The sequence below is a fragment of the Homo sapiens genome, chromosome 8, assembly GCF_000001405.40.
Source record: "Homo sapiens chromosome 8, GRCh38.p14 Primary Assembly".
NCBI lineage: Eukaryota > Metazoa > Chordata > Mammalia > Primates > Hominidae > Homo > Homo sapiens.
In genome coordinates, this window is record NC_000008.11 from 47,724,671 (window position 1) to 47,746,123 (window position 21,453).

Here is a 21,453-nt window from a genome sequence, read left to right on the forward strand (position 1 = left end):
TGAGCAGAGTTTAAAAGGACCCTGAATATATTCTGAGCATGGAGCAGTCACTCACTGAGAGCTGGCAGCATCCCTCTGTCCATCCAGGTCTCAGTGATGGGGTGAGGGGGAGACACTCACTCCTTGCTGGTGTCACAAGGCCTCCTCGTCTCTATTCTCCCTGAGTGGCAGCTCTGGGGTGTGCGGAAATGTTTCTCTGCTGTGTCTTCTGGGGTGAAGTCGTTTGGCAGCGCTGGTTTTCCCTCCCTCACTCTGCTCACCACCTCTCTGTCCACCACTCACTAGCGATGGGACCTGGTGCAGGGCTGTAGGAAGGGATGCAGCAGGCTCACATCTCTGTGGAAAGAGGGGTGAAGTCCTATCTAAACCCAGGCTCCAGCTTCTAAATAGAAGACTTGTGAGCCCTGACTTCTTTCCATCAGGAGATAGGGAGGAAGAGGGTATAGCAGAGTTCAAGTTACTGAAGAAATGTGTGCACCAGGCGTGGTGAGCGCCAGACCCACCCATCCTGAGGACCCTTTGAAAGGACCTTTTTAAAAAGATGTGTTTGTAACTAAGCAATACACCTTTCCCAAACCTAATTACAAGACATTTCTGCACATAAGACAAGCAAACTAAAGACTTAATGGCAAACTGCTGGCAAGTTCATGAGTATGGTGTCCTCAACCCTGATGTAAACTATCTTTTTCTTTCTGATGCTCATTTAAGTGAATGTCTTTTGTTTTTGTTTTTGTTTTTTTGAGATAGAGTCTCTCTCTGTCACCAGGCTTGAGTATAGTGGCGTGATCTCGGCTGACTACAACCTCTGCCTCCTGGGTTCAAGCGATTCTCCTGCCTCAGCCTCCCGAGGAGCTGGGACTACAGGCGCGTGCCACCACGCCTGGCTAATTTTTGTATTTTCAGTAGAGACGGAGTTTCACTGTGTTGGCCAGGATGGTCTCGATCTCTTGACCTCGTGATCCTCCCACCTCGGCTGCCCAAAGTGCTGGAATTACAGGCATGAGCCACTGTGCCCAACCTTAAGTGAATGTTTAATCATACACTTCCCAGCCATCTCTTGAAATTTATTTAGGGTTGCCAGAAAAGATTTCCACAATGGCTTATGGACCTCAGATGAAATGTATTTCCTCAACTCTTGCCTTATTCTCTAATTGGAAGGAAATTGCTTAATCCCATATAAATGTAAATGCTATTAACACCCATGGATATCCTAGGATAAAAAGGAACTTTGGCTGGTAGCAGTCTACTTTTTATTAAGGTAGCAGTCATTTACCAAACATCAGTAAACCAGTGAGTGGGCCTTTGGTGGGCCTGCAGGCCCTGGGCAGGAGCCAGGCCACAGTGGCAGATGTGCTCTGGGGCTTGGGGATGCCCCGGCTCCTTTCTCCACTTGCACCTCCTCATGTGCCTGCCCATTGTGAATTAGTCAACACTGCTTTCCAGCTGCATTACGAGCCTTTATTGACTTTGCTTTTCATCCCTTTGACCCACTTTGACAATGTCATTAGCTAGGGCAGCCTTTTCAAAATCAAGATCTATTATTTTCATTTTTAAAAAGTCATTCAAGTATGCATTGCATGAATGCACTTTAATAAACCAAGCCTACTCATTCTCATACTTCTGTTTTATCCTCTAAAGATAAATTTTCTCCCAATGCTGGTTTTAGTGAGGAATGAAATTTTTTGTGCCAAGAGTGGAAAGGAAGACCTTTCTATTTTTCTAGAAACTCAGATTTTACTTTTTCTTCAAACATCTAATTTCACCGCTTTTCAACAAGGACATCTGCGATTTGGTGGTGTATCTAGATGATATCTACAATGCTTCACATCCAAGAAAATCAGACCATCCCAATCCCCAGCAAGCACTGACCAACTGTGCTCACCCGGCCTCAGCCCTGCCATGGTGTGCAGAGTTGGCTGAGGCCCCGTGTGGCCCGCCCTGGCTGTCTTGTGGACCCCCCTCACTCCCTTCCTCAGGAAGCCATGACCCTCTGGGATGCCCAGAGGTGTCTTTGACACACGTCTCAGGTGTCTTTTCCATTTGTCAATTCACCATTTATTTCATCTTTTTTTTGGGGAGTGGGGACAGGGTCTTGCCCTGTCACCCAGGCTGGAGTGCAGTGGCATAATCATAGCTCAAACACTCATTACTGTGTTAAGGAGTCTATATACTACTACTGTGCTACAGAAAAAGCACAGACCTAAATATGCAATATGGGGAATGTTTGAGGGACTGAGGGCCGGCTCAGCTGTGGCGATGTAACTACCTATGCATCTGGAAAAATATCCCAACAAAAATACTTCAGTTAGGTGGTAATATGCAGGCAAGTTTTAAAACGTACTTCTTATTGTTATAATTTTTCTTTGTACAATAAGTGGAAATTATAAAAATCTTAGGAACATGTATATAAACTCCCAAGTAAGGCAAAAATCACGAGGCCCCTCATGTTGTCCTCTGCACGTGGAGGAGCAGAGGAGTCAGAGAGGGCAGAGCCGCCTCTGAGGTGGGCTTTCCTTCTCTTGGGCCTAGGCACTGTGGTTGGCGTGGACGAGAGCACTGCTTTCTCATGGCCTGTGTGTGACATGTGTGGCAACGGGAGATTGGAACAGAGGCCGGAAGACAGGTAAGGGGACAGGAGCTGTCCTGAAAGCCCTAGAACTGAAAGGGCACAGAAGCAACCCAGCCCCAGAACCTGGGCCTTGCTACCTCAGGTGACTCCCTCGAGAGCTCAAGGGGCAACCTCTGCCTCTGCTGAGCAGCAAGGGAAGAGGCCTCTGGGGCCCAGTGGGTTTTCCTTACTGAGATTTCTGCTGTTTCTTGCAGCTGCTCCTGTTATGAGATAGATGTGCTGGGTTTTGTCCCCACCTCCTTTATTATCAGCCAGGAGAATTAAAAAAACAGGACAAACATGAATAAGTGAAAAAAACTTGGTGACTGTATAGCCTAGCTTTTGTGAAAGGTGCAGACGTTTACAGAGACCACTTTTACAGTGAGCAGCTACTGGACAGATGTCCCTGCCCACCCCACTATGCTGCCCTCCCTCAGGGTCTGGGCCAGTGTCAGTGCAGTCTGTCCCTATGAAGTCAGTCCTCCGGCCTCCCAAGTGCAGTGTCATGTGATAGAAAGGGACAGGCTCATTACTTTTCTGCTTCTTAAAAAGCAAAGAGACTGGGCATGGTGGCTCACGCCTGTAATCCCAGCACTTTGGGAGGCCAAGGCAGGCGGATCATAAGGTAAGGAGATCCAGACCATCCTGGCCAACATGGCAAAACCCAGTCTCTACTAAAAATACAAACATTAGCTGGGCATGGTGGCGCGTGCCTGTAATCCCAGCTGCTTGGGAGGCTGAGGCAGGAGAATCTCTCGAAACGGGGAGTCAGAGGTTGCAGTGAGCCGAGATCACACCACTGCACTCCAGCCTGGTGACAGAGTGAGACTCTGTCTCAAAAAGAAAAAGAGAAAAAAAAAAGCAAAGATCGGCCAGGTGCAGTGTCTCACGCCTGTAATCCCAATACTGTGGGAGGCCAAGTGGATCACTTGAGGTCAGGAGTTGAAGACCAGCCTGGCCAACACGGTGAAACCCCATCTCTATTATTAATTTTAAAAATACAAAAATTAGCCGGGCATGGTGGCACACACCTGTAGTCCCAGCTACTCCAGAGGCTGAAGTGGGAGAATCACTTGAACCAGGGGGAGGTGGAGGTTGCAGTGAGCCGAAATCGCACCACTGCACTCCAACCTGGGTAACAGAGAGAGAGCGAGACTCCATCTCAAAGAAAAGGAAAAAAAAAACACACACAAAGCAAAGAGCAAATGTCTCCTTGGCATATCTGGGCTGGTGGCCTTACACAAGCCATCACTGGACTGTGTGGAAGAGATGAGCACATGTGCAGGCATGCAGGGTAGCACACAACAGTGGCTGTGCTGGCAGCTGAGAGCAGACTTTCTCTTCCGGGCCAGGGGGCAGCCTGACCCCTGGCCTCCCAGGCCCTGACCTCCCTTCCTGGGAGGCTCAGCATCCCCTCCTCTGCTCCCCTCTTCGGCCTCCAGCCAGTGCTACTCGTGCTACTCGAAGCTAATGTTCATCCCTTGGACAGGCTGAGTCCAGGCAGCTGCAGGCCTCTCTCAGAAACTTGATTCTGAGAGTAAAGCCCCGTTTTCTAGCTCAGCAGACACTCATGTTTAAGAAAATGTCTCCCACTGGAGCTTTCCTGACTTGTGCCTCCCGGGGCCTTGTCTTTCCTTGGCTTTTCATATACCAGAGGCGCCTTTTCCTGTGGGGACTGCTCCCGGGTGGTCACATCTCCTGTTCTCAAGAGGCACCTGCAGGTCTTCCTGGACTGCCGCTCAAGACCGCAGTGCAGAGTGAAGGTCAAGGTAGGAGCCAGGCCAGAGCACGCACGCACTCCTAGCTCACTCCAACATAGCGAAGGTGAGACAGAGCTGAAGCAGGTGCACGTCCTCCTGTACGCCTGCAGAGGCGCTGGGACTCGGCTGGGATGGCTTGCATCTGGAACTCCCTCTAGGTCCTAGGAGCTTCCCTAGGAAAGGTGGGAGGATGCACCCTATGTGAACACAGTCTCTCCATGTTAAAACACATCTTTGACCTAAGGCCGTGAGACTGAAGCTCTGAAGACAGGTGGTTTGGATATAACATGTTAATTTTCGGGAATGAGTGATTTAACTTGAGCACTTACTGTGTTGGAGGGAGTTTAACCCAGCCCTGCTTCTGCTGTTGCAGCTGTTGCAGCGCAGCATTTCCTCCCTGCTGAGGTTTGCCGCCGGTGAAGATGGGGTAAGTGCAGGGGGCCCAGCCCAGGGGGCCGCACACTCAGTAGCCTGCATGAGCAACTCATCCCCAGAGGAAGCCCCCACTCCCAAATGTGTTCTATTACAACCCATCCCACTAGGAAGTGGTGTAGACACTCGAGAGTGAAATGCAGATATGTCTGCCATTCAGACTGATAGGTTCCTTTCCTCTGTGGAAATGAGGTTATTTTAGATCATTGTTGAGGTAGATGCAGGAATCTGTCCCCTGGCTTTTTTGTTTGTTTTTGTTTTTGTTTTTAGACAGAGTCTCATTCTCTGTCCAGGCTAGAGCACAGTGGCGTGATCTCAGCTCACTGCAACCTCCGCCTCCCAGGTTCAAGCGATTCTCCTGCCTCACCCTCCCGAGTAGCTGAGACTACAGGCATGAGCCACCACTCCCAGCTAATTTTTGTATTTTTAGTAGAGATGGGGTTTCACCATGCTGGCCAGGCTGGTCTCGAACTCTTGACCTCAGGTGATCCTCCAACCTTGGCCTCCCAAAGTGATGGGATTACAGGCATGAGCCGCTGCACCCAGCCTGCCCCCTGGCTTTGATTACAGCACCACAGTCTTCAGGTTGGAGTCCTACTGCCAAGGTGTCATGTTAATAGGATGGAATTCCCCAAGATGCTTTTTTTTTTCTTTTTTTAAACACTGGGTATTCCAGACTCTGAATAACTGGTAATGTGACTGTCCTGCCCTGAGAGTCACTGTGGTGAATCTTAGTAAAGCAGGGTGGCTCCTCCAAGAAAAGCCACCTAAATATATAATTGATGGGCCAAAGAGTTTCTGCTGTGTGAAATTTGACCCACATAAATGAGACATCTGTCCTAGAGATGCCACCTGTGTCTTGTGAAAGCCATTTAAAAGCACCACAAGTGGCTCATGGAATAGCCACAGAAGGGGACCAGCCACTCAGTGGCCCCTGGGCACAGCCCCAGTTCACAAGAGACATCTGGAACCAGAGTGGGCTCCACAACCAGGGAGCTGACTTGGGCCACGCTGGAAGGGAGTGTGGTGACTGGGGAGGCCGATCATGCCTGGAGCTCTGTGGTCAGTTAAATAAGGGGTCTTTGTCTAATGGGTCCCCATGGCCAGATTCTAGCCAGAATTTTTTTTTAGGCAGAGTCTTACTCTGTCATCCAGGCTGGAGTGCAGTGACACAACCATAAGCTCACTACAGCCTCGAACTCCTGGGCTCAAACGATCCCCCTGCCTCAGCCTCCCAAGTATCCAACCCACATTTGTGGTGACTTGACCTGTCCTATGGAGACTCCTCCCTGCCCCACTACCCCTGCCACCCTCTCACCCACTGCACCTCAGGAGGGGCCAGCAGCCCCGCAAGGCAGAGCAGCAGTTTGTCCTCTCTCATCTAAACCATGTCTGTCAGAGTTGGATTAAATTGGAACATGGATAAGTCTATGAGCGGGATCTTTGAGGATCACAAGTGACTATACACTAGAATTACCTGCAAGCTCTAAAGAGTTTCTGCTCTTGGCTGGGCATGGTGGCTCATGCCTGTAATCCCAGCACTTTGAGAGGCCGAGGCGGGCGGATCACCTGAGGTCAGGAGTTCGAGACCAGCCTGGCCAACATGGTGACACCCCATCTCTACTAAAAATACAAAAAAGCTGGGTGTGGTGGTGCGCATCTGTAACCCCAGCTACTCGGGAGGCTGAGGCAGGAGAATCACTGGAACTGGGGAGGTAGAGGTTGCAGTGAGCTGAGATTGTGCCATACTCCAGCCTGGGCGACAGAGCAAGACTCCGTCTCAGAAAAAAAAAAAAAAGGGCTTCTGCTCCCTCCTGGCACAACACCCACCAGCTTTAAAGCTCCTCAGTGACCCCGAGCTCCAGCTCGGAATTGTCCCCTGAGCTGCTGCACACAGGGACTGATGCTGAGGCCGGGCTGTGGAGGCTCATCAGCAAGTGTTCCCCAGTGGTGCAAAAGGTGAGTCATCACTACAGGCCAGGAACTGAGCCTCCCGCATTCTCACATTTCCCTGTTCAACCTCCCAATGTCCCAGCAAGGTAGAGCCCATATTTCCCTGCTAGGGGGATGAGTGCAGTGCCCAAGGCAAAGACATCCCACAGAGGGAAAGTCATCGTTACGCCACAGAGTGACCACCTGCAGAGTTGGGAGCCAGCCCAAGGAGCATAATGGGGAACAGCATATGTGCTTTTCTGTCCTTAAGGAAGTTTAAGTGTATAACAGGCAACCGACCACACAGCAGTGCCTGTCAGCCAATTCCTTGTCTCCTTGTCTGAGTCCTGGGGGTAGGGAGGAAGAAAGGAGGAGGCAGTGCCCAGAAAGGGGGGAACTGCCCACAGCTGACCAGGTAGAAGTTTGAGTAGGTGCTAAAGGTGGCAGATCTGAGTTTTCAGGGAACACATCTTGATGGAGAATGTTGGGAGAAAGCATTAGAAACGCCCCTGTTTGAGAACGCATGATAAAACGAACCAAAACCCACAACCTCAACAGATTCAACCAACTCTTGGGCATGGCACACAGCTCTCCAGCTGCTCCATGCTACTCAGAAGGGTGGGACGGTGCTGTGGCAGCAGCTGCCTGGCATCCCTGGTCACCATCCAGGAAGTCTCCAGCAATGGACAGTGCTTGACACCCGTTCCAATCCCCACCCCTCTTTAGAGATCCAGAGACCAGGAACCCTGGCAGAAATCCTCCTTCCTTCACTTGGTTTCCTTCTGGCTAAGGTGCTTGTTCCTCCTACACATTTAACTTGTCAACTAGAATATTCCCATAGGTAAAAGCCCTGCTTATAAAGAGCTCAAAGGTGTGTGTACCTGAGTGCACGTGTGTGCACATTTATGCAGTATGTGTGCATCAGAGCACCTTTGCCCATGCCCGTGTGCATGTGTATGTGTCCACTTGACTATGCTGTGTATGCACATATGCTGGACACATGCGTACATGTGTGTATGTGTGTGCATTGGGTGAGGGCCAGAGGGTGGCAGCAGCCTTAGTATCACCTTTTTGGGTGCTCTGGTTTCAGGGCCAATACCAGTGGACTGTGGGGTAAGTTCCAAGCCTGGAAGTAGACAACTTAGGAGGCTCTTTACTCCATGCCCAGCTCTATTCACAGTGGCTGATCAGGTCTTTACTGCGGATCTGGAAAGAAGCTGATAGAAGATGGGTGCCAGAGGGGCCTGGGTAGAGATGTTAGCTGAGAGATACCCAGTATGGATTCTGTCAGTTTTCTGGGTGAGCATACACATTCACCAAAATTCAGAGAATCAAATTGGGGCTTTCCACAAGAACTGTAAAACTCCATTCCCTGGGGCAAATGTACTGTTTCGGTTAAGATACTTGAGTGTTAAGTTTTATGCCTTTACTGTAATGTGGTCAAGCTGCAGATGTGAAAACAGTAGGATTGTCTGTAGTTGTGCATCTCATTTCTCAATAGTAACATTATTGTGGCATGGAACTTGAAGTTTGTTTCCTTAGCTTTCAGAAAAGTTAAAGGAACATATATAGTGATTTTTTAAAAGAGAGCACATTTTACACATATGCAGACACACATTCATATGAATAGTGCTTGGGAGTTTGCTAATATGGTTGTTTAAACCTCTCCATGTTAATTTCTCCCACACATAAAAGATTTATTACTTGGACACAGTGGCTGATGCCTGTAATCCCAGCACTTTGGGAGGCCCAGTCGGGCAGATCACCTGAGGTCAAGAGTTCCAGACCAGCCTGGCCAACATGGTGAAAACCCATCTCTATTAAAAATTAAAAAATTAGCCAGGCATGGTGGTGCGCACCTGTAATCCCAGCTACTTGGAAGGCTGAGGCAGGAGAACTGCTTGAACCCAGGAGGCAGAGGTTGCAGTGAGCCAAGCTCACACCACTCCATTCCAGCCTGGGTGACAGAGCAAGACTCAGTCTCAAAAAAAGTAATAAAAAATTTTAAACTCCATTTACAGGATAATATAGCCAAACCTAACATTTTACAAATAAATGATTTTTTGCTGGCTTTTTCCAAGTCAGAATTGCATACTTTTACTCCAGAAGACCATAGGGTCATCTGTTTCACACTTGCACAAACATGCAAGACTAACTGAAACTCTAAGACACCAGAAGGGTGTCCAGCGCATATGCCGCCTCCACCCTCCCTCCCCGTGCGGTGACCCTGCTTCTGCTTCTGTATCCCCTGGTGTCCCCTCCAGTCCAGCAGCCTGGAGACTGTCCTGCTCACTGCCATCTCTTCAGTGACGGGCCCACATGGGATCATAATAAACCCCATGTGTGAGCGAGTGAGCAGCTGCACTTGCCGTCCATGCCACCTCAGAGCCCTTGGGAAGGCCTCAGCTTCCATTACCAAGTTCCTTCTCTTTGCCTGTCTTGACCAGTGACACCCACTTCCCCCATCACTACATTAAACCATCCTGTTGACTTTATTCTTTTTCACCAAGGAAGCCAAAACTCTTGACAGAGCACACTGAATAGGCACCACGCCTGTCTTACAAATGGGAAAATCAAAGTCCCCCCACGAGTTGGCGTCAGTAGCGTTCACATCCCAGACTGATCCTGACATTTATTTTTACAAAACAAACCATCTCAAAACTTGGTGGCATCAATATTCATTCTGTGCACAGAACTCTTGTTTGGACAGGGCTTCATCCGGATAGCTCCACTGGGCATTAGCGGGTGCCCCCAAGGCCGGTGGGAGTCACAGAAGGCTCCTACGTCCAGGCCACAGCTCTGGCCGGACCCCCTCACAGCATGTGTGTGGATCCCACGGGCCAGCTGGAAGCTGGGCACCTTTCCTGACCAGGCGTGGAACATCACTTGGTGTCCCTTCCACCGCACTGTGTTCATGAGAAGCCAGACACTGAGGCCAGCTCAAACTCAGGGAAAGGCAGTGAGACTCACACCTTTGAAGGGAAGGGCACCAAGGAGCCACATTCTACCTGCTTTGGCCACGTTGTCTGGCTTCTCCAGCCTCAGTCTCTTTGGCCATGACACCATAACGATGGGAGGGGTGAGTTAATAGACACCAAACAGAACTGCTGTAGCAACTGCCAAATGCCTTGCACAGAGGAGGAGTGTGGGGTGCCCATGATATTACTCTGCAAGTGACATTGCCTTCTAGGGCTTTAATCTCCCAGAAAGCCAGAGATGGAATATCTCAGTGCTTCTGAGCCTTTATTTTCAGCCCTACCCGCAACAGCATTCTGCAGCTTGATCTATAATGGGGTGCACCACACCCTCTCAGCCTGGTCAGGGATGGGGGCCAAGGACTCCCTGTACCTGTCTCATCTGGAGACGAAACTCACCTGGGACTAACCAAAAAGAATTAGAAGAAAAAGCGAAGTCTCATTACAAAAACACAGAGGATTTTAGCCCAGTATAACTCTAGAAGAAATGGAATCCTATTAAGGAAGGAAGTTTGGGGCAAAGCACCAGGAAATCCCTCAACCGGAAGTGTTGCTAGATTGAGGAAGTGTCCTAAAGGAAGTGGGAGACAGCTGTGGGCACTGTGTGCCCAGCCCCGGCCTTCCCAGCAGAGTCTGTGTGCATCGTGTCCCAAGTAAAAACAATTCAGTTACCAGAATGGGGTAGTTCCTTCACTTGCTAAAATAAATGGGTGTGTGGGTGTGTGTGTGTGTGGGTGTGTGTGTGTGTGTGTGTGTGTAGTGGCTCTTCATTTGTTTCTCCTTCCTACCACTGTTCTCAGCCATTTGAGGAGTGGAAGGTCGTGGACTGGGGAAAGGGCCTTCCACTCTGGCTCTCTGGTTTTCCGTGTTGTTGGGAACAGTACGTCCCAGGCTGTTTGCTTTAACCAGCGTGCCTTTTATCACTGCAGAGCTACGAAGTGAAGAGTGTCCTCGGAAAGGAAGTGGGGTTGTTAAATTGTTTTGTCCAGTCCGTAACCGCCCACCCGACCAGCTGCATTGGATTGGAGGAAATCGAGCTTCTGAGTGCAGGAGGGGCCTCTGCAGAACACTAGCGGTTGCCGCAGGATCTGTGAACTTTGCAATGTGGCTGCAAGGGTGGTGGTGGTGGTGGTGATTTGGGGTAGTTATTTGTTAACTATGGACACAGTGAACGTAGTTTACGATCTTGAAATGAAACTTAGATTTTTCTGGGGAAATGTTCAGATACAGTTTTGTGAACTGTAAATCAAAATACCTTTTTCTACAGTTTATCTTTTATTTTCTGCAAATTTAGGAACATATTTACTCGTTTTCACATTGAATCTTAAGTTTAAGCTCTTCATTTGGTATTTAGGCAATATATGAGAAAAAAATTTTTTTTGTTCATTTGTAATTTTAACAAGTTGAACATTTTACCATGATTGAACATGTTTTTATTACAGTATTTAACATTCCCCCAAAGAATACCCTGCAAAGTGTAAACCTTTGTCCCATACTGTGATATTACTGTTCTGCTACAATAAATGTCAAACCTAAGCACTTTGCAGTTCACTACTTTTGGGAAAATGTTCTAGGGAACTGTATCACAGGTGAAACTGTTACCCATAAAGTGTAGCTCTCTGAACTGGTGTGATCGTGTCTCTGCTGAATGGTGGTGGGGATAGCTGGCTCCACCACACACACCTGTTTTAATTAGGCTGGGTAATGTGCACGGAGAGCAAAGATCACAGACTAAGGAGCAGTCAGTCGGATATTTGCTTTGCTGGCAAAGATTTAAACCAAGAATTAATTATCTTTGGACACTATAAAGATTTTGTTCCCTTCCTTATAGCAATATAATCATGACAGGCCATGGTTAACTACATCAGATACACGTAGCAGCCGTGACCAAGACATGGTGCCCTAATACCAAGTGTTCTTGGGTTAAAGGCAGGCGGCTTTTTAATTAAATCTTAAAGCACTGCAATTACTGGCAAGACAGCTGGTCTTAAGCAGTTTTGTGACTGCCCTTTTCATCCACTACATGACTATTCCGGCCTTTCTGGAGCACTTTTGAAAATCTACTTGACTCTGTCCACAAGACTGAGGAAAGTGAAAGCAAAGTCCCGGGAAAGCGGGAGATGATTCAGCCCGGGGTTCTGCCCCTCGCCCCTCCAGCAGCCTCTACAGTTAGGGAGCTCTTGAACTGTTCTCAGCAGGGGCCCCCAAAAAGTCAACCCTTCCCCAGGTCTGCGTTCTTCGGGAGAACACCTTCTGCTGGAAAGCTGCTAGCTTACCTGAGCTCAGCCGTGCTCCACCTAGCTTAGGCAAGTTAAATAAGGCCAGGAGAGAGCCTTTAATGCGTTTTAAAAGCGACAGACCCTCTCTCCTGAGTAGCTCGGGCCTGCGCCCCATCCCCCCGCCCCCCCCACACACACACCTGGCGCCCGGGCTCCCTGGTGCTCGCTGGCTGCGGGTCCGGAACGCACCCTTCCCGAGCCGGGTCCTGCGCCACCGGCGGGCGGGCGGGAGTCACTGCGAATATAGGAAGCAGGGGCGATTTCAAATGCTGCTTTATTCTTACAAATACTGTAAAAATTAATATAAAAAAGTGAGCATGCTCAGTCTTTTCCTCTTATCTACAATACAAAGGGTTTGTCTGAAAAGTCTGGTTTTTTTTCTTTTTACAAATGTACCTTAGCTGCATCAACAGGAGTAAGATGTAGAAAAAGCTACCATTACAAAAATAATTTAAGGGAAAATAAACACGTTTAGCTTCTCTCGCAGTTTAGTGGTGGTAAGTCCAGGCTGTAGCTTCTTTGCGCTCCTATGTCCCAAGAAACTGCAGCGGGCACCCGGCGGCTCTGGCTGCGCCAGGGCAGGGCGCGCTCCGCTCCGGGCCGTCGGGTCTGAGGTATGGGTCGTTGCTGAGTCTCTCCCGCCCCGGCCGCGCGTTACCGGCAGTCTGCTGTCCCGGCGGCCGGCAGGAAGGGCGGGCTGGGCAGCTGCTTGAAGAACTGCCGGAGGCCGGCCAGGTCCCGCGTGAGCTGCTCCACGCGCTGGTGCAGCTTCTCGTTCTCAGCCGACAGCTCCACCAACTTCTGCTGCATCTCCTGGTTGCGCCGCTTGGCCTTGTCGCGGCTCTTGCGCACGGCGATGTTGTTGCGCTCGCGCCGCTGCCGGTACTCGGGGCTGCCGCGGTCCGGGCCCCTCTTGCCGGCGCTCTTCTCCCGGGCGGGGCCGGGCGCGGGGGTCTGCCTGGGGCTGCTGCGCGGCGGCTCCGGCGACGTGGGCGGGGTGGGCTGCCCTGCGGCCGCCAAGCTCACCACGGTCTGTGCGCACGCGGCCACCTGCGCGGGCAACAGCGAGCCGGGCGCGTCGCCGTCGCCCCAGTCGGGCTCGCGCTTGAGCAGGCGGGGAGCGGCAGGGCCCGGGCCCAAGGGGCGCGCGGGGCCGCCGGGAAGAAGCTCCAGGGGCCCCGCGCCGCCCGCCTTGTGATTGCTGTTGAAGAGGTCGGCGAAGAGCTCGTCGTGGCACAGCTCCAGGGTGGGCACGGCGGCCATGGAGTCGATGTAGGCGCTGAAGTCGATGGCGCTCTCGTCGTCGTACATGGCGGGGGCGGCGGCGCCTGGCTCGCCTAGGGCCCCTGGCTCGGCCCCGCGGCCCGGCTTGCCCGCCCGGCCCGGTTCGTAGAAGGGCGCAGGCTCCGCAGGCCAGGGCGCGCCGCGCGCCGGGCCGTCCAGGCTGAAGAGCGCGGCGCTCATGGCGGCGTCGGGCCGGGCTCTGCGTCCAAGCGAGGCTGTCACCTCGCTGGGCCCAGCCCCGCCGCCTTTTCTAGCCCCGGCTGACGTGCACGCCCCGCCCCGACTCCGGCACCGCGGGGGCGCCCCGGGGCCGCGGGGGAAGGGGCGGGGGCGCCCTGGGAGCCCCCCGGAGCCGCCCCGAGCCTTCCCGGGGCGCGCCCCCTCTCAGTTCCTCCCCGGGGCCCCCTCCCCGGCCCTGGGGACCCCCAGCCCACGTTGCAGGAGGGTGCCCGCGCTGCTGCTCCCTCCCCGGCCCGGGCCGGCCTGCGCTGCGCTGCTGGGAATGACACTCCCTCTGCCAGCACTCCAGGGCCTTCTCTTCTTCCTGTTTGTGGGCTTGGAACCTCCTCGCTCCTCGGGGTTGGGAGTGAAATCAAAACCAGGACTTGGCCGCAGCGCGCGCGTCCCAGGCCGGCTCCTGTCGCCGGAGGGCGGGGGGTGGAGACCCGTGGGAGAGGACCCGCGCGTCCAAGGACGCCCCCCGACCGTGGGCACGCGCGTGAGGCCCTCGCCCCGCGCCTCCACCGTGGGACCAGATGCGGGAAGAGGCGTGGGGGACCAGACGTGGGGACAGCGGCGGCCTGGCAGGCGGGGAGGGCTGCCCGCACCGCACTCGGGCGCCTCGGGGAATCCGGGCCGGTTCTCGCTGCTCTCCTCGGAGGTCCCGGGTCCGGCCGGCCCTGGGGGTCGAGGCCCAGAGACGCGGCTGCTGCGTCCTGGCCGAAAGGCCGACGGGACGCTGTCGCCAAAAGCAGAGCAGATGGGGGAGACGCGGTCACGACACCGCGTCCTCCGCCGGCTCCTCGAGGTGCGGGCTCTCCGGCCGGACGCTACTCCCCGACCCCGCAGACCCGGGCGTCCGCCGCCAGCTCCCGCGCCCGCGTTTCTTCCAGGTCTACGGAAGCAGTGCCATCGTGTGGCGGCATCTTGCGTTAGACCTGTTTTTAGTTCCAGGCTCTTTCCCTGTTAAATATTCCAAAAAAGTGCCTTGAACCTAAAGTAGTTGGGTCCTTTTTGGGAAACAGGTAAGATCTACCAGTAGCTATAGCAGGGTGCAGATGGGCCTCGACTCACGATGGGGTTACATCCCGGTAGACCCATCGCACACTGAAAATGTCTTAAGTAAGAATGGGCTTTGTCATGTGTCCTGCAATTTGAGGCAGGCATTTCTGGTCAGACCCATTTATTATTTTAAATTAAAAATATGGTTTTTTTCAGCCGAGCACAGTGGCTCATGCCGGTAATCCCAGCATTTTGGGAGGCTGAGGTGGGCGGATCACTTGAGGTCAGGAGTTTGAAACCAGCCTGGTCAACATGGTGAAACCCCATTTCTACTAAAAATACAAAAATTAGCCAAGCGTAGTGGCGTGCGCCTGTAATCCCAGCTACTCGGGAGGCTGAGGCAGGAGAATCGCTTGAACCCGGGAGGCGGAGGTTGCAGTGAGCCGAGATCGTTCCATTGCACTCCAGCCTGGGCGACAGAGCGAGACTCCATCTCAAAAAAAAAATTGAGATGGGATCTCACAATATTGTCCAGGCTGGTTTCAAACTCCTGGGCTTAAGAGATTCGCCGGCCTCAGCCTCCCAAAGTGCTGGGATTACAGGCGTGAGCCACCATGTCGGGCCCAAATCCATTAAATCACTATCGCTAGTCACACCTGCTCCATGTCGAGTCTCTTCCTGCGCAGGCCTCTCACCAGATCTGCGTCGGAACACCAAGCTCTACTAACTGCTGTGCAGTTTCTGCAGTCAGTTCCAGAGGTCATTTCTAACGTTGCACTATGGGATATTTAATAGGTTTCCTAAAGAACAAACATATTTCTTTAGAGTTACTCAGAGGGTACACAATGATGATGTCACACAATTAATTACCTATTAAGACTGAAATCCAGCAATGCATAGAGTGTGGACTTACGCACATCCAGAAAAAGTTCTAGCACAAATTGTTTTGTTCTCATATATTTCAGAAGCCATAGAAACACTATTAAAGCCCTCCCTAATCACTTAGGGAATGCAAAATCAATATTTATAAGGGATAACCATATCCTCCTAAAAACAACTCAGAGACTATTTTCAGTGAGATGATTTACTGATTCCGATAGTCAATATAGTTACATTTTATTTTTATTTTTATCTTTATTTTTGAGACGGAGTCTTGCTCTGTCGCCAGGCTTGAGTGCAGTGGCGCGATCTCAGCTCACTGCAACGTCCGCTTCCCGGGTTCAAGCGATTCTCCTGCCTCAGCCTCCGGAGAAGCTGGGATTACAGGCCCGTGACACCACACCCGGCTAATTTTTTGTATTTTAAGTAGAGACGGGTTTCACCGTGTTAGCCAGGATGGTTTCGTTCTTCTGTCCTCGTGATCCACCCGCCTCTGCCTCCCAAAGCTACATTTATTAACACTAAGTTGAGTTTACATGACAGTGATGCATATTGAGGTGCTTTACAGGAAGCGGTTAGAAAGTTCTTGCCTAGGCCTGGTGCAGTAGCTCACGCTTGTAATCCCAGCACTTTGAGAGGCCGAGGTGGGCGGGTCACCTGAGTTCAAGAGTTCAAGACCAGCCTGGCCAACATCGTGAAACCCTGTCTCTACAAAAATACAAAAATTAGCCGGGCATGATGGCAGGTGCCTGTAACCCCAGCTAACTTGGGAGGCTGAGGCAGGAGAATCGCTTGAACCCTGGAGGCGGAGGTTGCAGTGAGCCGAGATCACACCATTGCACTCCAGCCTAGGCGACAGAGTGAAACTCCGTATCAAAAAAAAAAAAAAAAAAAAAAAAAAAAAGGCGGGACGCGGTGGCTCACGCCTGTAATCCCAGCACTTTGGGAGGCCGAGGCGGGCAGATCACAAAGTCAGGAAATCGAGACCATCCTGGCTAACAAGGTGAAACCCCGTGTCTACTAAAAACACAAAAAATTAGCCAGGCATGGTGGCAGGCGCCTCTAGTCCCAACTACTAGGGAGGCTGAGGCAGCAGAATGACGTGAACCAGGGAGGCGGAGGTTGCAGCGAGCCGAGATCCCGCCACTGCACTCCAGCCTGGGCGACAGAGCGAGACTCCGTCTCAAAAAAAAAAAAAAAAAAAGAAATTCAGGAGGTTGAAAACGGTTAAAATGTGTTTGAGTTAATATAAGCTGTTTGTTGGGGTCCAAAAGCCAATCTGGCTCCCCTTCATTCATAGGACGAAGTTGACCATAATTCAGCTCTCTCTCATCCTAGGGATCATATTTGGATAATTGAAATGGCAGAAGAGCAGTTCTGCTCCAAATTACAGTCTGAAAAAATAAAACGTTTTTGAGGAGTGCTCTCTAAACGTAAATATGAAATGAAGTTTCAAGAGGTGGGAAACTTTTTAGTGCTTTCTTCAGATTGTTATTCTCAGCTATCAGATTAGATGGTTTTGTTTCCCTTCTGCCTTCGGGCTATTTTAAATTTATGGCTTATTTTCCCGAGTTTTGGGTCACAATAGCGATTTTTTTTTTTTTTTAGATAGAGTCTCGCTCTGTTGGCCAGGCTGGAGTACAGTGGCACAATCTTGGCTCACTGCAACCTCCATGTCCCCGGCTCAAGCAATTCTCCTGCCTCAGCCTCCCGAGTAGCTGGGATTATAGGTGTGTGCCACCACGCCCAGTTAATTTTTGTATTTTTAGTAGAGACGAGGTTTCACCATGTTGGCCAGGCTGGTCTCCAGCTGCTGGCCTCAGGTAATCTGCCTGCCTTGGCCTCCCAAAGTGCTGGGATTACAGGCGTGAGCCACCGCACCCGGCCATGAAATTTTTATATGTTACATGTTTATATCCAAAAATACTGACTTTTCAGGATGAACCTTATTCGCAATGTGTGAGTTTGGAAAAGGAAAGACAGAGTCAAAGGAACAAAACCAGTGGTTGTTGGGGTCACGCACCCCTCATGCTGTTAAAGCTTGTGCATGTCATTGAAACCTGCTGTGATTGGTAACAATTTCTATGTGCACTTCAGCTTCTGGAATCTAAAAGGCTGAGTCCCCAGATTGTAAAGTAGCCAGAACTGACAACAAGAATTGGATTCTGTGGGTTGGGTGTCCCACCTGCCAAATACCTGCTCACATTCTCCTCAACAGAAAAGGAAAAGCAATTTGTCTTCCCAGCCTACATTTTTATCAGGTGGATTCATCCCTCCCTGGCCCACACCCAGTAGCCCCTCTGCCAGCCTCCTTGCACCCCAGGTCCCCAGCTGCCTCCTTGATGGCAGTGATGCTGCAGCTGCACCTGCTCCCCCAGGAAGGGTGCAGCAGGTCTGGACTCACAGCTTGCTCTCCCTTTCCAATCCATTCTCCAGATGGCCACCCAAGAGAGCCCGTCCCGTCACTGTGTTCCTTAGAATCTGCTGATGTTTTCTTGGCCTAGAGGATGGAGTTTCAGTTCTCAAGTGGGAGCCCTCCACTGCCCACTTCAAGAAGTCAATTTCCTCTCACAACAACTGGCACCTGACTCAACTCCAAATACCCAGGACCTGCCTGGTTTCCTGTGTGTGAAGCTGATGGTTCCACCGAGAGCTCTTTCTCCTCTGCACTACTCTGCTGGCAAGAGCAATGGTGCCTGCCTCGATGGTGCTTTCTGTGACTTACTTAATCACTTCCTCATCTGACTTCTCAGGAAAAATACATCCCACATCTTGTCAATTATTAAGTGCACTTTTTTTATATTTTATTGAAATTGGGATGCATGTGACAATCACTGTTGTCCAGAGTGTCAGTTAGGATATTTGTCTTTGTCCACATATGGGTGCCAGTGGCTGGGAGTGAATCCTGAGGATGATGGCGGAGAGCACTTTCTAAAGAAATGCTACATCGCTCGCTGTCTTGATGGAATGAAGAGCAGTGGTGTGTAAAAACCTGCAGGGCAATGACTCTGAAATGAAAAGTGATTCAGAGGAGACAGTGAGTGAACATGAAAACATTTGGGAACATCTTAAGCAATTTACTTATATTGTCCTTTTTACATGCACGTAAGAGTGATATATTATTAAAATCAATGTCTAAAAGAAATGAAGTTCTTTCTATGAGTACAAAATCAAAATTTTAAGAAATATGAGAGAAGCAACATCACCAAAAATGGCAGAGTAAAGAATTCCAGTGCTCCATCACTCCACAAATACAGCTGGCAAAAGCTGTCCTAATCAACTTTTACAGAACTCTGAAATCTAGCCACAAACTTACAGCAACTGGGGAAAGTATAATGAAGAAAGAAGCTGCTGCAATGTACTAAGAAAGCACTTTGGTGTTTTAAACTGCCTGCTTGCCATCCCTCCTTCTCCAGATTGTTGGTGGCCATGAAGATGGCAGCATGAACTCCTGATGCAGGCTGCTAGTGCCAGAGTGAACAACACAGACTCTGTTCTCAAAGAAACGGGAGTGTGCTTGGACCGGGCTGACAGCTCCCTGATGGACTAGAGCAAGGATAGCGTTTGCATTTGGGCATTTGCCAAGAGCAGCAAGGGCAAAAGTACTGGCTGTAGGAGCCTGAGACAAGCAATAGAAAGACCAAAAAGTCTAGGAAGGAAGAGCTTGAGGAAGAACATAAGTGGGGAATAAGGGCCATTAAAAGCTCTTGCGTGTACCAGGGAATTACGTGCATGCCCAGCGTGGGCGGAGTGCTCAGAAAAGGCCTGAGAAGACCTCAAGCCTCCACTTCTGGCTGACCTTCAAGATGTGCACATTCAAGAAGAGAAAGCTAAGACAGAATTATAAACAACCTGGCTAAGTGTTAAAGGAGTATGCCAACACAGAGCCAGTCTCTAAAGACTGGAAGAGTTTCTGTAGGTACTTTTTTTTTCTCTCTCTCTTTCTTTTATGGGTTGGGGGCTTTGGGCATTTAAGGTTACTCTGTTAAAAATACTAGCTGACCACTAAGCTAATGGAACACAGACTTCAGTGGCCTCACACAACAAACACAATACAGATGTTACAAAAGTAGTTTTGAAAAGTCAGTAACAAGTAACAACAGCCCACAACAAATAGCAACAACAAACCCTTGGCAGGGGTGGAGGGTGGGGGCGGAATCTACTTTGCAGAGTTGCCACATTGTAATTATCAAAATGCTGAGTTTTTGACAAACATTTATGAAGCATGCAAAGAAACAAGAAAGTATAAACCATTCACAAGCATACTCTGAAGAAATTAATAGAAACTATCCCTGAGGAAGCCAGACACTGGACTTACTTAGTGGACAAAAACTAAATCACATGTCTTTAAAATGCTCAGAGTTAGGGTAAACCATGTACAAAGGACTAAAGGAAGCCAGGAGCATGAAGTATCACCGAATAGAGAATATCAGTTAAGAGAGAGAAATTACCAAAAAGAACCAATTAGAAATTCTGGAGCTGAAATGAAATGAAAAATCACTAGGAGGTTACAACAACAAACAGGTTTAAACAGGCACCAGAAATAATCATCAGACTGGATGCAGTGGCCCACACCTGTAATCCCAGCACTTTGGGAGGCCGAGGCAGGCAGATCATTTGAGGTCAGGAGATTGAGACCAGGCTGACCAACTTGGTGAAACCCTGTCTCTAATAAAAATCCAAAGAAAATTAGCTGGGGATGGTGGCGCATGCCTGTAATGTCAGCTACTTGGGAGGCCAAGGCAGGAGAATCTGTTGAACCTGGGAGGCAGAGGTTGCAGTGAGCCGAGGTCGTGCCACTGCACTGCAGCCTGGGCAACAGAGCAAGACTCCATCAAAAGAAAGAAAGAGAAAGAGAGAGAGGGAGGGAGGGAGGAAGGGAAAGAAAGAAAGAGAGAGAGAGAAAGAAGGAAAGAAAGAAAGAAAAGAAAGAGAAAAGAGAGAGACAAAGAAAAAGAGAGGGAGGGAGGGAAAGGAGGGAAAGGAAGGAAAGGAAAGAAAAAGGAAAGAAAGAGAAAGAATCAGCAAACTTGAATATAGGACAATTGAAATTATGCAGCCCGGGAAGCACAAAAGAAAAGAATGAAGAAAAGTGAACCAAGCCTAAGGGACCTGTGGGATATCATCAAGTAGATCAACATATGCATAATGAGAGTCCCAGAAAGAGGAGACAAAGAGAAAGTAGCAGAAAGACTACCTAAATAAATAATAGGCCGGGCACAGTGGATCATGCCTGTAATCCCAGCACTTTGGGAGGCCAAGGTGGACGGATCACCTGAGGTCAGGAATTCAAGACCATCTCTACTAAAAATACAAAAATTAGCCAGACATGGTGGTGGGCACCTGTAATCTCAGCTACTAGGGAGGCTGAGGCAGGAGAATCACTTGAACCTGGGAGGCGAAGGTTGCAGTGAGCTGAGATTGTGCCACTGCACTCCAGCCTGGGGGACAGTGAGACTCCATTTCAAAAAAAAAAAAAGAAAGAAAGAATAGCCAAAATGTCCCATATTTTGTGAAATACATGAATTCTACGCATCCAAGAAGTTCAACAACACCAAGTAGAACAAACTCAAAGAGATCCATACTAAGAAACACTATAGTCAAATTATTGAACACCAAACAAAAAGAGACAATCTGGAAAGCTGCAAGAGCCAAGTGACTCATCACATACAAGAGATCCTGAATAAAATTAATAATCAGTTTTTCATCAAAACCATGGTGGTCAGGAGACAGTGGGATAAAAGGAAAAAAGTCAACCAGAAATACTATATCCAGCAAAAATTGAGACATTAAGACATTTCCAGCTAAACAAAAACTGATGTATTTCACCAATAGACCTGCTCTAGAAATCCTAAAGGAAGTCTTCCAGGCTGAAACAAAAGGACATCAAACAGTAACTCAAACACATGCAAAAATAAAGAACAATGGTAAATGTAGCTACATAGGTAAATATAAAAACACCCTTTGGTTTATAAGTTCCTTTTTCATTTTACTAAATAGTTTAAAAGACAAACCCCTGAAACAATAATTGTAAAGCTATGTTAACAGGCACACAATATATAAAGATGCAGTTTGTGATACTA

The 21,453-nt window shown here is 49.8% G+C and overlaps 2 protein-coding genes across 59 annotated transcripts in view, besides 5 other annotated features; one reads left to right on the top strand and one right to left on the bottom strand.

Annotated features, from left to right (window-relative positions):
• Nucleotides 1–11,636, top strand: part of SPIDR (scaffold protein involved in DNA repair) — a 475,429-nt gene extending 463,793 nt beyond the window's left edge. For 22 of the 58 annotated variants that reach the window (NR_148202.1, NR_148204.1, NR_104581.1 and 19 more), the window contains 4 exons: nucleotides 2,530–2,623; nucleotides 4,263–4,377; nucleotides 4,742–4,795; nucleotides 10,637–11,331. Coding sequence is in view for 53 of the 58 variants with exons in the window: in NM_001352958.1 (NP_001339887.1) it covers nucleotides 2,530–2,623; nucleotides 4,263–4,377; nucleotides 4,742–4,795; nucleotides 10,637–10,780 (407 nt within the window). In the remaining 5 variants the exon portion in view is untranslated. Of the gene's footprint in view, nucleotides 1–2,529; nucleotides 2,624–4,262; nucleotides 4,433–4,741; nucleotides 4,802–7,900; nucleotides 8,032–10,636 lie in introns of those variants that run through there. The other 36 variants (XM_017013268.3, XM_017013269.3, XM_017013273.2 and 33 more) reach the window with 11 other exon arrangements.
• A 606-nt stretch (nucleotides 11,637–12,242) lies between these two features.
• CEBPD (CCAAT enhancer binding protein delta) lies at nucleotides 12,243–13,494 on the bottom strand. Its single transcript, NM_005195.4, has one exon. It carries the CDS (start codon nucleotides 13,448–13,450, stop codon nucleotides 12,641–12,643), a length of 810 nt encoding a protein of 269 aa, NP_005186.2. The 5' UTR covers nucleotides 13,451–13,494; the 3' UTR covers nucleotides 12,243–12,640.
• Nucleotides 12,518–13,456: an enhancer, noted in NCBI's record as "H3K27ac hESC enhancer chr8:48649750-48650688 (GRCh37/hg19 assembly coordinates)". NCBI's record gives its function as "activates a minimal SCP1, AML or CMV promoter by ChIP-STARR-seq in naive H9 embryonic stem cells {active_cell/tissue: H9 hESC(naive)}" and the evidence as "EXISTENCE:reporter gene assay evidence [ECO:0000049][PMID:30033119]".
• Nucleotides 12,853–13,042: a silencer, noted in NCBI's record as "silent region_19172". NCBI's record gives its function as "represses an Ori minimal core promoter by ATAC-STARR-seq in GM12878 lymphoblastoid cells {active_cell/tissue: GM12878}" and the evidence as "EXISTENCE:reporter gene assay evidence [ECO:0000049][PMID:35858748]".
• Nucleotides 13,533–13,642: a silencer, noted in NCBI's record as "silent region_19173". NCBI's record gives its function as "represses an Ori minimal core promoter by ATAC-STARR-seq in GM12878 lymphoblastoid cells {active_cell/tissue: GM12878}" and the evidence as "EXISTENCE:reporter gene assay evidence [ECO:0000049][PMID:35858748]".
• Nucleotides 13,683–13,762: a silencer, noted in NCBI's record as "silent region_19174". NCBI's record gives its function as "represses an Ori minimal core promoter by ATAC-STARR-seq in GM12878 lymphoblastoid cells {active_cell/tissue: GM12878}" and the evidence as "EXISTENCE:reporter gene assay evidence [ECO:0000049][PMID:35858748]".
• Nucleotides 13,853–14,322: a silencer, noted in NCBI's record as "silent region_19175". NCBI's record gives its function as "represses an Ori minimal core promoter by ATAC-STARR-seq in GM12878 lymphoblastoid cells {active_cell/tissue: GM12878}" and the evidence as "EXISTENCE:reporter gene assay evidence [ECO:0000049][PMID:35858748]".